This window comes from Homo sapiens, chromosome 14 (genome assembly GCF_000001405.40).
Source record: "Homo sapiens chromosome 14, GRCh38.p14 Primary Assembly".
NCBI lineage: Eukaryota > Metazoa > Chordata > Mammalia > Primates > Hominidae > Homo > Homo sapiens.
This window is the reverse complement of record NC_000014.9, coordinates 67,322,105-67,337,871: the sequence shown is the minus strand read 5'-3', so window position 1 is coordinate 67,337,871 and position 15,767 is coordinate 67,322,105. Positions and strand designations below refer to the sequence as shown.

The 15,767-nt window shown below is 38.4% G+C and overlaps 2 protein-coding genes across 14 annotated transcripts in view; both read right to left on the bottom strand.

Moving 5' to 3' along the window:
- The window catches only part of GPHN (gephyrin), a 1,227,209-nt gene that overhangs the window by 397,484 nt on the left and 813,958 nt on the right, over nucleotides 1-15,767 (bottom strand). The gene's annotated exons all lie outside the window — the stretch shown is intronic.
- Nucleotides 1,811-15,767, bottom strand: part of PALS1 (protein associated with LIN7 1, MAGUK p55 family member) — a 94,627-nt gene continuing 80,670 nt past the window's right edge. For all 13 annotated transcript variants that reach the window (XM_047431691.1, XM_047431692.1, XM_011537086.3 and 10 more), the window contains 2 exons: nucleotides 14,060-14,170; nucleotides 1,811-5,092 (listed from right to left, as the gene is read on the bottom strand). In XM_047431691.1, the coding sequence (XP_047287647.1) occupies nucleotides 4,916-5,092; nucleotides 14,060-14,170 (288 nt within the window). In that variant the 3' untranslated portion in view covers nucleotides 1,811-4,915. The remainder of the gene's footprint in view (nucleotides 5,093-14,059; nucleotides 14,171-15,767) is intronic.

Below are 15,767 nucleotides of genomic sequence, written 5' to 3'. Positions count from 1 at the left end.
TGAGGGCATTATAATACTTCCTTATTTGCTAATTAAGAAAATAACTAGTTCCTATTTTAGAGTAAGAAATAAGGTAACTTTTTACTATTTATAAGTGATAAAAACTTGCTTTCATATATGAAGATGAAGCATTTGAGTGGCCACATCAGGTGTCTGAGGTTTTTAGTACTGTTTGATTTGGCATGAGCCATCCATGGGGACTCAGTCTTTCTCGCATCCATTTCCAGGCATTTTTGACATGATTAGCCATGGAATAATGTTTAGTTCTGAAATTGTGACACTGTCTTTATTAATACTGTATTTTAATCAAGTGACATCACAGTCCAGGTAGTTTTTCTTTCTTTTTTTTTTTTTTGAAACAGAGTCTCACTCATTCTGTAGCCCAGGCTAGAGTGCAGTGGCAGCAACATCAGTTCACTGCAACGTCCGCCTCCTCAATTCAAGAGATTCTCCTGCTTCAGTCTCCCGAGTAGCTGGGATTACAGGTTTGCGCCACCATGCCCGGCTAATGTTTATATTTTTAGTGGAGATGGGGTTTCACCATGTTGGCCAGGCTGGTCTTGAACTCCTGACCTCAAGTAATCTGCCTGCCTCGGCCTCCCAAAGTGCTGGGATTACAGGCATAAGCCACCATGCCCAGCCAGTCTAGGCAGTTTTAAAGTACTAAATGATTTTGCAAGCATTTAACATCTCCTATAAGATAGCAGGTCTTAGTTATGTGCCAGGCACTGGTATTAAGTATTTTGTTTATATTACTTCATTACAACAACCATAAGAGGCACATATTATTTTAACCCCCTATTTTACAGAGGAAAAATTGGAGACACAGGAAACTTGAGTAGTCTTAAGTTAAAAAGCTAGAAAGTAGCAAATCCAGAATTTAAGTCTAAGCAGTCTACCTTCAGAATTTTTACACCCTAACTTTTCCTTTCTGTTTCATCTATATTTCAAACTTTGGGTATTTAAAGACATTGGGACTGTTCTGGAGAAGCTGATATTTAGGAAATCTGGTTGCTGCTCACAGAATAAAATCTTAGGTTCAGTGTAAATTCAGTAATGACTGGAAAACCAACAACTCAGTTCACAAGTACTTTAAAAATAGGTAACTGTTTAACATTTCGTCTTCCCAACAGCCTGCTGAACTGTAAATTCTACCATCTCCACTTTGCAGATGAGGAAATTGAGACTTTGACAAGTCAAAGAGCACAGCTGGAATGCAAGTCAAGTATGATTTGATTTAATTTGATCTTTATATTTTAAGAATTACGTACTGCCTTTCTAGGAGGCAAAAATTAGTTTGAAGTAGGGATCCAGATTAGTGGTTTTCCACATGTAGGTAAATTCAATGTAAAGCAACAAGCCAAAGGACCCTAGATTTCTCCTGTGGCTTCTTAAATACCTGGAATGTATTGGCCTTGTTAAAATACTTACAAAAGTGCAGATGACTTTATAGTTTAGCATTTGTTAAAAAGAAATCAAGAAAACAATGGACACATAATTTGTTGTGTGGAGTCAGTTATCTGAAACATAGGAGAAGAATATAGATCAGGAATAGGAATGGAAAGCTGAACTGTGGTGACAGGTGTATATATGTAAGAAACTTTTTGTTTGTTGGTGTATGATTTATGACCTTTGGGAGATGTACAGCAGAAAAAAAGGAGAAATGAAGACTGGAGAAACAAAATATGTTATATATTTGCCAATAATTCACATGCTGCCTCAGTGTCCTCAGATCCCAGGCTGCACATAAGGTCCATTTGCCTGAGTATTATTACATACCTCCTTCTCCAGAAAACTTTCAAGTTCACAGCCTTGCGTTGTCCATCTTTAATACACTTAGTTGTTGGTTTTAATAATTAAGGAAACAGGACCTACCTATACCTGTGCCAACAGGGGGCACTATCCCTCTGTAAAGAACAAATCAAAAAGTATTTTGTGTTGTAGCTGGAGGATCCAATGGTCTTGCTTTTGGCAAAAACTTGAAGAGGAGGGTGGTCTTTACATGTGTGGAAACCTTGAGTGGCCGAGCAAATAGCAAGAGAAATTGCTTAGTGGCTTTTAAAATTTGAAATATAATTTTACTTTTTATTTTTACAATACAGTGTACAGTATGACATCTCAAAATAACAGTGCAGATACAGGAAAAGAGTACAAAGGGGGATTAACAACAGATGTCAGAAGGTTACCTTTATTAAGGCTAAATCCCTGCTTTATATTTTCCACACATTCACAAAATTACATTCAAATCATTCCTTATTGATCCTTATTTCTTAGGCCATGAGAAAAGGAAGATAATCCAGACATTAGATTTTCATAGAAAGCAAATCTGGATTAGTCTAAATAATATTCTCCTTCCATTTGTTCTGACAACGAAAATTTGAGAAACAAAGTTATGCACCAACCTAAAACTTCCTTATTTGGATTTTCCAAGTACATAGCATTAGTTATTGATATCATTTCTATATTAAATGGTAAGACCTCCCCCACACTGGGGTCTCCAGTCAGAACCACAGAGGGACAGGAAATGGAATTGGCCAGAGTGGCTGTACAACTAGGTGTACAGCAAGGCTTTTTTCCATATTCTTTTGTGGAGGTCAGCAACAACTCAGTTTTCACTTTAAGGACTATGTTGAATATCAGCACATCCTCATCACTAGGATTTAGAAAAGTTTAGGACATTTCTATCTACCATTGCTGATGAGGAAGGGGAGAATGATTGATAGACTTCACTGACCTTGAAATATTTATCATCTCAGACTTCCTAAAAGTATGGCATGGCATCACCTCTGCCTTGATACAAGATCTGCTTGTTAAAGCCATGTTCCTGAATCTTGACAGCACATGGCCCTAGTGCAGGCCTAATGTCTACAGCAGGCACAAGAGCCACTCACTGACACTACCTACACCCTCACTCTAACTTAACATGAACTGCCAATAGTTTAGCTCTTGGAGTTGAAAACAGTTGTCAGTTACAATAAGCAGGATCACAAAACTCCATTGTCAACCATAGACTACACTTCATTCCTGAGACGTAAACTGGAAAACTGAAAAGATTAAGTAAGTGCTAAGTATATTCCTTAGTTTTTAATGCTAAAAATCGGTGTGACCTGTGAAATTTCCTGGCTCTAAACTGGAGTATTTCAGATCTGAAGAGACAGTAGTGTATGGCATTCCTTCCCTCAACCCAAGAATGTTATTTTCTTCCTAAGGAACATTATCTTGAAAATATTTCCACATAAAACACTCTCCAGCCAACTTAATAGGCCATGCAAATTTGAACAGAAAAAGGCGACATATAAACTGTCTACATTTGTTCAAATAAAATTATGTAGAAGAAAAAAAATCAATCAAATATGTACATGACACAAATTACTCCTTAAACATAATTGCTTATGTTAAATTAAATGATGTCAGTATTATTCCAGTGTTTAGCTCTGGGTATAGGAAATGCTGTAGCTAAAGTCACCATAAAAATAAAATCAAGGCATTCACATTTGAGGTTGTTTGTTACACATCACACTATCCTAAAGGCTTGAAAAGACTGCAAATTAAGTTTCCATGCCAATTATATACGTTGAATTTTAAAGCTACAGCTATAGAGACAGTACGAAAATCCTATTAGCTTAAATGTTTCTTTTATGATTTACCAAGCTGTTGCATTCTCGTCATAAGAGGCAGACCTTGTTAGGTTAAAAACCTATTTCTATATATTTAATACCTTTTTCTCTCCAATATTCTTTTCCTAAAATGTTCAAATGACTTTCAGGTCTTCCCTTCCTTTTGATCTTAAAGTCAACTGTCATAATATTTCCCAAGGACATATATAATTTTATTCTAATGCTAAACAAGTGTTTTCAATGACCATTTGTTGATCTATTAAATATTAATATACAGTACAGCAGCTATATTCATCAACAGAATTCCAGTTTATTACCTATATATACGTAGCACAGTCATAGGATACTGTGCTCATACATAAAAATGCAAAAACTGTCAAATGTGCTATCCTCCCATGTATACAAAAAACTATTAGCATCATGAGGAAGAAACTTTTTAAGTCAATACAGATTATAATGAACACCTGCCATTCATAAAAATGTAACATACATTCTATTATACTATGCTGATGAGGGAAGGGAAGCTAAGTGAGTAAATCAGTTGAGACGACTTAAGAAAAAAATTCAGGAAATCATAATTTAAAAAAGATCAGCATATTTTGTATACCTTTAAGTAGATTAGAGTGTGTTGAGTGTAGAGTCTGATCCACAAAGTCTGAGCAAAAAAACTGGTGCTTCTAATGGAATGTTTTTTGTTTTTTTAAGAATCAAAAGACATATAAATGAATTCAAGCCTAACAAAGTAGCTTCAACCCAAAGTGGCACCATTTTGTTTTTTATTTTTCCTTTTTAGGAAAGTATCTCTGATGACTAAATTAGTTTCCTAAGCAAATACTGCCTTGCCCAGTGCATAGAAGCACAGTCCCTCTGCTCAATATTCCCAATGAAGTCATTTAAGTGTTAATGATTTAACACTTAAGAATAATCACATCAATATTTGTGTGAGACATGGACGCTTGTGTATACAAGTTTTTCACAGAGATACAACTAAGCAGAAAGGGTTTAGGTGAAAACAAAAGGTTTTAACAGGACAAAATGGAATGCTCTGTTGAAAGCTTCCATTTAGAATCCCAAAATGAGGCAAGAACCGCTAAAGCCATGTATAGAGAATAAAGGATGCCATGCACAAACTGCCTAAGGGAACTGTCGTCTCACTAATTCAAGAGATCTAAGAACAGATCTACAGCTTATACTGCTGCCTTCCATCTTATCCTCAATCTTGCTGCAGTGTCGGGCAGTCCTCCTATTGGCAGTTTTTGCCAGATCAAGTCCAACATGCCACAGAATGGATGTTTCTTTCACCTCAGCCAAGTGGATGGTACCCACTGAGGTTCAGTATCAAGTTTGTTAATTAACCTAAGCAATTCCTGATAGGCTTTATCAAGATCGGAATTCACAATTGCCGTATCAAAGTAGTGGCCATTGTTCTGCTCCATCTCTCTTGTCTTCTCAATGATTTCTCTCAACTCTTCAGGCTGCAAACAGAAGATAAAAACTGTGAGATAATTCCTTTCCTAACCAAATAATATAGGATGAGTCAGAGATGGCCAAAGAACAAGGAGCGACCTTCATAGCTTTCCTTCTGTCTCTCCCAACCTCAGGAGCTCCTTTCCAACCCTGTCACGGCCACAATGGTTACCTTTGCTTTGGCATCTTCACGACTCATATTATGAACCATCTGGGACTCAATATATCCTGTTTTATACCACTATTTAGGTTTTCACATATTTTGTCTTATCTCACCAACAAAACTACAAGCTTCAAGAACACACACTGTTTCCCTACAAACATTTGTTTTCAAACATTCTAGACACTATAACCTCTTCCTAATAGTAACATCTGTAATATGGAGTGAACCTTTCTGGTTGGAGCAAGGACCTAAAATGCCATTTACTTTTGGCTCTAGTAAAGAGCCCTTGCCCTATACTATCTGCTGCAGAGAGTTAAAAGTATCCTACCAGAGTTTGGGAAACTATATAGAGTAGCCTACTTTAAAATACTGACTGAAGGAAAGGGCCATTTTACAAAGATAAGCAGGCAGCAAGGCTATGTGCAAAACTTATCCTGAACCCTCTAATTATCAGGCACATGGGTTCAAGAAAGTGAAACTCACCTCAAATCACCCCTGCCAATGAAGACAACTAACTTAAACTCAAGACAAAATGTCTCAGATATAAAAGTCACACATCAATACTATATTGGACCCATAGTACAAAACAATTTATATCATTCAACTGTTTGAACTTCTGTAACAGTAAGAAAACATATTAAAAATATGACAACTCTGGCTTGTCCTGAGGCAGTTTCTTGCATGACTCTCATTCTGGAATGTTGTACATCTGAATATGGCACACAGAATCCTTTGTTCCCAGCAGGGAATCTACTTCACCACTGTAACTGAACACACTGACATTTTTGCTAAAACTTATGTCTACCGTAAGCTCAAGATTATTGGAAGAACATTCTAGGACTCCACAGAGAACTGAAACTTTGTGGTATTGGAGTTGAAATGAAAATGATAAAGCCCGAATCCACCTAGTTTTTATCAAATTTAAGGCATTGTTATTCCATTTTGTGCCAAAATGGCTTATATCACTTATTTAGTACTTCATGTCTGAAGTTCTCTTTCAAATTACAATCCACGACTAAGATGAAACAAAATGTTTTAGCTCAAAATTTTTAGCTGAACTAGGCAAAACTGACAATAAGTTCATACTGCTAGATAGCCACTCTCAAGCCTTCATACTAGCAGAACAGATTCAGAGATTCAGAATGCAACTAGATAACCGGTTGGTTACATTTTGTAACGCCATCATTTTCTTAGCACAATTTTATAGAGTTAAAATTGAAAATCTGTTTTACTTCAGCACTTCTATCATTGAGTAATAAAGCACTATTAGAAATACCAATACCAGCGCAGGGGCTCCCCCGCCTGTAATCTCAGCACTTTGGGAGGCCAAGGTAGGTGGATCACATGGGGCCGGGAGCTTGAGACCAGCCTGGCCAACAGGGCAAAACCCCGTCTCTATTAAAAATACAAAAAATAGCCAGGCGTGATGGTGCACATCTGTAATCCCAGCTACTTGGGAGGCTGAGGCATGAGAATCACTTAAACCCAGGAAGCAGAGGTTGCAGTGAACCAAGATTGTGCCACTGCACTCCAGCCTGGGCGACAGAGTGAGACTCTGTCTCAAAAAAAAGAAAGAAATATCACAGGAGAAAAAAACTTAAGTAGAATAAATACAATCAGATACACCATCCTCTACACCAAAAACTGTGGAATACACATCCTAACAGGTGTGCACAGAACATTCACCAAGAAAGAACAGATGTTGGGCCATAAAATAAGGCTCAACAAATTTGAAAAGACTGACATCTTTCAGGGTCTGACCACCTGGAATTATAAATCAGTTAAAATCTTTTTCACATCTCCAAATAGGTGGAAACTATATAACATACTTCTAAATAACTCATGTGTTAAAGAGAAAAACAAGGAAGCGGGGTGCCGGGGGCTCAGGCCCATAATCCCAGCACTTTGGAAGGCTGAGGCAGGTGGATCACCTGAGGTCGGGAGTTTGGGACCAGCCTGACCAACATGGAGAAACCCCATCTCTACTAAAAATACAAAATTAGCTGGGCGTGGTGGTGCATGCCTATAATCCCAGCTACTCGGGAGGCTGAGGCAAGAGAATTGCTTGAACCCGGGAGGCAGAGGTTGCAGTGAGCAGAGATAGTGCCACTGCACTCCAGCCTGGGCAACAAGAGCGAAACCCCATCTCAAAAAAAAAAAAAAAAAAAATGAAGGGAAATTAGAAAATACTTCTAACAAAATGGTAACAAAAATACAATGCCAAAACTTACGGGATGCAACTAAAGAACTGTTTCGAGGGAAATTTATAATTTCAAATGCCTACATTTGAAAAGAAGAGTTTAAAAATTAAGCATTCATCTTGAGAAACTAAAGCAAGTGCAAATTATAGTCAAAGAAAGCATAAAAAGAAATGAATTAAATAGAAAAGAGACAATAAAGACAAATGCCCTCCAACTTATTTCTTTTGCTAAAGTGTCTGATTATTCCTTTTGATAATAATAATAATAATTATTATTATTATTATTTATTTCCTGGTTCCAGATTGTGTCTTTATTCCTCTTTCTGACAGACAGCAGAGCATTTGTCTGGCATATATTCTCTCTTACCACAATATAGATGATTTTCTGTGACTTTAACAATACATACAAGAAAAAAATCACATCTTTATGCCAATACCATTCTTTCACAATACTAGAAGAACAGATTCAGAGTACAATTACATAACTGGTTGGTTACATTTTGCATCCAGTGAGTAACACCATCATCTTCTTAGTTTCTATATCTATTTATTTATTTATTTATTTATTTATTTATTTATTTATTTATTTTTGAGACCAAGTCTTGCTGTGTTGCCCAGGCTGGAGTGCAGTAGCACGAACTCGGCCTCTTCAGTAGCCAGTACCACAGGCGTGCACCACCATGCCTGGCTAATGTTTTTTGTATTTTTAGTAGAGACAGGATTTCACTATGTTGCCCAGGCTGGTCTCGAACTCCTGGCCTCAAGTGATGCGTCCGCCGTATCTCAAAATAATAAGAGCTATTTATGACAAACCCACAGCCAATATCATACTGAATGGACAAAAACTGGAAGCATTCCCTTTGAAAACTGGCGCAAGACAGGGATGCCCTCTCTCACCACTCCTATTCAACACAGTGTTGGAAGTTCTGGCCAGGGCAATCAGGCAGGAGAAAGAAATAAAGGGTATTCAATTAGGAAAAGAGGAAGTCGAATTATCCCTGTTTGCAGATGACATGATTGTACATGTAGAAAACTCCATCGTCTCAGCCCAAAATCTCCTTAAGCTGATAAGCAACTTCAGCAAAGTCTCAGGATACAAAATCAATGTGCAGAAATCACAAGCATTCCTATACATCAATAACAGACAAAGAGAGAGCCAAATCATGAGTGAACTCCCATTCACAATTGCTACAAAGAGAATAAAATACCTAGGAATCCAACTTACAAGGGATGTGAAGGACCTCTTCAAGGAGAACTACAAACCACTGCTCAACCAAGTAAAAGAGGACCAAACAAATGGAAGAACATTCCATGCTCATGGATGGGAAGAATCAATATTGTGAAAATGGCCATACTGCCCAAGGTAATTTATAGATTCAATGCCATCCCCATCAAGCTACCAATGACTTTCTTCACAGAATTGGAAAAAACTACTTTAAAGTTCATATGGAACCAAAAAAGAGCCTGCATTGCCAAGACAACCCTAAGCCAAAAGAATAAAGCTGAAGGCATCACCCTATCCAACTTCAAACTATACTACAAGGCTACAGTAACCAAAACAGCATGCTACTGGTACCAAAACAGAGATACAGACCAATGGAACAGAACAGAGCCCTCAGAAATAATACCACACATCTACAACCATCTGATCTTTGACAAACCTGACAAAAAGAAGAAATGGGGAAAGGATGCCCTATTTAATAAATGGTGCTGGGAAAACTGGCTAGCCATATGTAGAAAGCTGAAACTGGATCCCTTCCTTACACCTTATACAAAAGTTAATTCAAGATGGATTAAAGACTTAAATGTTAGACCTAAAACCAGAAAAACCCTAGAAGAAAACCTAGGCAATACCATTCAGGACATAGGCATGGGCAAGGACTTCATGACTAAAACACCAAAAGCAATGGCAACAAAACTCAAAATTGACAAATGGGATCTAATTAAAGAGCTTCTGCACAGCAAAAGAAACTACCATCAGAGTGAATAGGCAACCTACAGAATGGGAGAAAATTTTTACCATCTACCCATCTGACAAAGGGCTAATATCCAGAATCTACAAAGAACTTAAACAAATTTCCAAGAAAAAATCAAACAATCCCATCAAAAAGTGGGCAAAGGATATGAACAGACACTTCTCAAAAGAAGACATTCATGCAGCCAACAGACACATGAAAAAATGCTCATCATCACTGGCCATCAGAGAAATGCAAATCAAAACCACAATGAGATACCATCTCACACCAGTTAGAATGGCGATCATTAAAAAGTCGGAAACAACAGGTGCTGGAGAGGATGTGGAGAAATAGGAACACTTTTACACTGTTGGTGGGACCGTAAACTAGTTCAACCATTGTGGAAGACAGTGTGGTGATTCCTCAAGGATCTAGAACTAGAAATACCATTTGACCCAGCCATCCCATTACTGGGTATATACCCAAAGGATTATAAATCATGCTGCTATAAAGACACATGCACACGTACATTGACTGCAGCACTATTTACGATAGCAAAGACTTGGAACCAACCCAAATCAATGATAGACTGGATTAAGAAAATGTGGCACATATACACCATGGAATACTATGCAGCCAAAAAAAGGATGAGTTCATGTCTTTTGTAGGGACATGGATGAAGCTGGAAACCATCATTCTGAGAAAACTATCACAAGGACAGAAAACCAAACACTGCATGTTCTCACTCATAAGTGGGAACTGAACAATGAGAACACCAGGACACAGGGTGGGGAACATCACACACTGGGGCCTGTTGTGGGGTGGGGGGAGAGGGGAGGGATAGCATTAGGAGATATACCTAATGTAAATGACGAGTTAACGGGTGCAGCACACCAACATGGCACATGTATACATACGTAACAAACCTGCATGTTGTGCACATGTACCCTAGAACTTAAAGTATAATAAAAAAATAAAAAAATAAAATAAAAATACATTTAAAACCTTCCCCCCACACCCCGGAAAAAAAAAAAGTGATCCGTCCTCCTTGGCCTCTGAAAATGCTGGGATTACAGGTGTGAGCCACTGTACCCCGCCTTTTATATCAATTTAGTAAACTAAAAACAGTTTAGCAGTTTTTTATACAATTAAAACATACATTTACCTCACTTGATCCGGCAATTCTACTCCTAGGTGTTTATCCAAGAGAAATGAAAACATAGGTCTACAAAAAGACTTTATGAATGTTTAGAGCAGCTTCAGTCATACTAGCTCAAAAAAAATTTTTTCTTTTTTTTTGAGAGTCTTACTCTGTTGCCCAGGCAGGAGTGCAGTGGCGCAATCCCGGTTCACTGCAACCTCCACCTCCCGGGTTCAAGTGATTCTCCGGCCTCAGCCTCCCAAGTAGCTGGGATTACAGGTGCATGCCACCACACCCGGCTAACTTTTGTATTTTTAGTAGAGACGGGGTTTCACTATGTTAGCCAGGCTGGTCTCAAACTCCTCACCTCAAGTGATCTGCCCGCCTCGGCCTCCCAAAGTGCTGGGATTACAGGCGTGAGCCACTGTGCCCGGCCCTCAAAATTTTATCCAAATATTTTTTAACTGAAGAATGGATAAATTGTGGTATATTAATATCATAGTATATTACTCAGCATTAAGAGGGAATGAACTGCTGTTAGATGCAACACAGATCAATCTCAAAAACATGTTGATCAAAAGCCAGACACAAACTTTAACAAACGGCATGCTTCTATTTATATGAACTTCTAGAACAGATCAAACAAATCTATAGTGACAGAAAGCAGATTAGTGGTTGCCAGAAAGAAAGAATGGAGGGGTATTAACTTCAAAGGGGCATAAGAAAACTATCTAGAGTGATAGAAATGTTCTAAATCTTGATTGGCATGGTGGTTACACAGGTACACATTTCCAAAACTTGCTGAATTATACAACTAAAATGCATGTATTGTAGGTAAAATATACTTCAGCAAAGTAAAAGAATCAGAAAGTTCTAATTAGAAAATCAAATATATTGCATATTGTTAAAACATTTTGGTACTGATCAACTTCCTGCTTTAAAAATATGTATAAGCTAGGACCTGTGGCACATGCCTATACTGAGACGGGAGGGTCACTTGACTCCAGGAGTTCAAGGCTATGATCATGCCACAGCACTCTAGTCTGGGTGACATATAGAATCTCCTCTCAAAAAAAAAAAAAAAAAAAAAAAAAAAAAAAAAAAAAATCAGACCTAAATTGAAATTTTAGGATGGCCAATTCAAAGTGAAGTAGATAAAAATTCCATTAGAACACGGCCAGAGACCAACCAAAAGAAAGATGCTGGCCGGGCACGGTGGCTCACGCCTGTAATCCCAGTACTTTGGGAGGCCGAGGAGGCTGGATCACGAGGTCACGAGATCGAGACCATCCTGGCTAACACGGTGAAACCCAGTCTCTACTAAAAATACAAAAAAAAAAAAAAAAAAAGAAAAGAGCCGGGTGTGGTGGCAGGTGCCTGTAATCCCAGCTACTCGGGAGGCTGAGGCAGAAGAATAGCTCGAACCCAGGAGGCGGAGGTTGCAGTGAGCCAAGATTACGCCACTGCATTCCAGCCTGGGCGACAGAGTAAGACTCTGTCTCAAAAAAAAAAAAAGATGCTTAACATGTTTAACATGTTTTGGAATGGTCTATGGCCCTTCATATGATAGCAAATCCTTGTTGGAAAAAAAGATAGCCTAAAAAGAAATAAGTGTGCATGTTAGGAAGTGGAAAATTAGGCTGAACAGGAAGCATGGAGTACACTCTGGTCCTTAGTGCGCATCCTTTTCCTTGAACAACCATGGAGTTTCTGTTCTACCAAAGTAGTTATTGGACACTAAATTTTACACAGTATTAATCTCGTTTCTCTTGTTATATTGTGATCCTCCTCAAGAACAGCCAGTGACCATGCTGCCTATTTCCTTTGTATCATCCCAAGTGCTATGGACAACAAATACTCTGACCCCAGTTACTTAAGAATTTGTAGGTATATGGCGGAAATGAAAAAGGGGTGCAGCACTACTTTAACCAGCTAGCCTACTTAGCCTAGACAAAGCAACCAGAATTATGCTCATCATGTAGGATGATATATATATATCATTTCTTAACCTCACATATAGATTAAGAAATGTTAAGTAGACATAGAGTGAAAAAAGATATTTTGGAGGGTGAAGAGGAAGAGGAAGGGTTAATGTGTTGTGGTGGACAGTCAAGAATGAAAGGAGGCTGGGCCTGGTGGCTCACGCCTGTAATCCCAGCACTTTGGGAGGCCAAGGCGGGTGGATCACAAGGTCAGGAGATCAAGACCATCCTGGCTAACATGGTGAAATCCTGTCTCTACTAAAAATACAAAAAAATTAGCCAGGCATGATGGTGGGCACCTGTAGTCCCAGCTGCTAGGGAGGCTGAGGCAGGAGAATGGCGTGAACCTGGGAGGCGGAGCTTGCAGTCAGCCGAGATTGCGCTACTGCACTCCAGCCTGGGTGACAGAGCAAGACTCAGTCTCAAAAAAAAAAAAAAAAAAAAAAAAATGAAAGGAAGGCTGGGCGTGGTAGCTTACACCTGCAATCCAAGAACTTTGGGAGGCTGAGGCAGGAAGGAGGGTTTCTTGAGGCCAGGAGTTCAATACCAACCTGGCAACATAGCGAGACCCTGTCTCTATAAAATACATAAAAAATTAGCCAGGCATGGTGGTGCATGGCTATAGTCCCAGCCACTTGGACAGGCTGGGGTGAGAGGATCACGTGGGCCCAGAGTCTGCGCCTGCAGTGAGCCATGAACATGCCACTACACTCCAGCCTGGGCAATAGAGTAAGACCCTATTTCAAAACAGCAACGACCAAAACAACAACAACAACAAAAAAAACAATCAAAAGAAAGGAGTGTAAATATGCTTTTAATGACTATCTTTAAGGAGATTTAAAGGCATAGTCAATGAAATGAGGCAATCTGAGTGAGCCCTCTCAAAAGTAGATCTATTTAATAAATATGGAGCAAAAAAAACAAGGAAGAACATGTTACTCTGATACAGTAAGTCACCTGACAGAGTTACCATCTTACATATTTAAATAAAAAGTCAATGCTGTCTTATTAATAACATGTTATCAGTCAATTATTAATGTTTAATATGACATGGACTACCTCAACCATATCTAGCATAGATCTAAAATAATTTAAAAAAATTTTTCTGTTCCAAACCATGTGAGAAGACCAAAGGGAGAAAAAAAGCAGAACATAAAGTTTCAGTGGGATAAAAAGAAGAGAAAAGCAAGAGCACTCAAATTTGGCTCCCTGAAAATGTGGAGTATCTACAGAGAAAAGTCAGTAATCCTGAAGAGTTGGCTGATAACTTTGGTGGCAGTCACATCTCCCTAGAAATGTCACAGACCCATGTGAAGACGCTCAAAGGTTACCAAATGTAGATGCCCCAACTTTGGAAAGCTGCCATAGTCCAACCCAGTGGCAACCATGGCAATTTTTGGGCAAGTAATATTACAGAAAAAATAATCAGTTTGAAAGCTCAAGCTAATGTAGCTTTTAAGCACCAGGACAAATTAGACCAGGACTGTTTCATGTTTACCTTCAATGGAATAGTACAATAGTGTGAAAACTTTACCTTTGGATTCTTGCCTTCTTTGGCCAATAATGCCCGAAGTCTTTCTTGTGAAGGGGGTGCAATGAAGATAATATATGGTTTCAAATCTGAATTCCGGAGAGTCTTCAATGACTGTAAAGAGACATTTTGATTTTTAAAATAATTTGCATCATTTAATTACTTCCTAATAATACTGATATATATATATATATATATATTAGATTAAGGGACTTGCTCTGTTGCCTAGGCTAGAGTGCAGTGGTGTGATCACAGCTCTCTGCAACCTCAATCTGCTGCACTCAAGTGGCCCCTCATCTCAGCATCCCCAGTAGCTAGGACTATAGGCATGCACCACCATGTTCAGCTAACTTTTTACTTTTTTGTAGAGACAGGATCTCGCTTTGTTGTCCAGGCTGGTCTTGAACTCCTGGCCTCAAGCAATGCTCCTGCCTTGGTCTCTCCCAAAGTGCTGGGATTACAGGCATGAGCCACTGCACCTGGCCCAATTCACAATATTTTTAAGATCCTACCATTCACTGTAAGAATATACTGTGAAGCCATATATATATATACACACACACACACACACACACACACACACGTGTATATATGTGTATATATGTATATATATACACATATAATACATATTATATACATATAATTTTAGCTTGCTCTTTTATGTAATGAAATGTAAGTGAATGATACTGAAGGATGACAACTATGTGATATTAAAACACCTAGTTTTAATAATAAGATCACATACAGATTACAATAACCATATTAAAAATCAATTTTGGAGCAATTAGAATCATACAAGTTGCCTTACTATGTGCCAGACACTAAATATAAGCAAAATCATAGAACATAACTTCACATGTGCAAGACAATTCAAGAAAAGCACATCCAAGAAAAAGTAGACTATGTTTGAATCTGGAGATTGCAGTTTTCACTTGATTACCAATGCATGACTGTGTGTGCTCAAACTGACACGCTCTATCAAAATGGAGATTATAGGAATATGCCATTGCTATCTAAAAACATTAAGATGATTAAAACAATATGCTGAGTTCTTTGTTAAAATCTGTTAGCCCTTTTTTCTGGAGAAATAAGAATTTTAAAAACCTGTTTGCCCAAATAATATAAAGAACTCTAAAGAAATTTAGTAAAAACATGTATACTTCTCTTAAATCAAAAATTTATAATTGAAATAGTAGAGCCTAAGTGCATTTGTCCACTAAAACACAAACAAAAATCCCTAATTACTATTTTAGAATAGCCATTTTAGAGTCAATTCTCCTTTATGTACATCTCTTTAATGACCACTGACTATGTTGCCTAATTTGACATGAGCAGCAGATTCTACCACATTAAGGAAAGTCGTATGCTAAAGCTGTATGGTCTACAAAAATTAAACAATTTTCCGTAACATTTGGAGTTTCTTAAAAACTCCAAGTTTCTAAAATTAGGTTTTTTTGTTTTTGTTTTTCAGACAGAGTCTCACTCTGCTCACTCTGTCACCCAGGTTGGAGTGCAGTGCAGCTCACTGCAATCTCCGCCTCCCTGGCTCAGGCGATTTTCCCACCCCAGCCTCCCAAGCAGCTGGGACCACAGGTGCATGCCACCACACCTGGCTAATTTTTTTTAATTTTTGGTAGAGATGGGGCTTTGCCGTGTTGCCCAGGCTGGTCTGGAACTCCTGAACTCAAGTGATCCACCCACATTGGCGTCC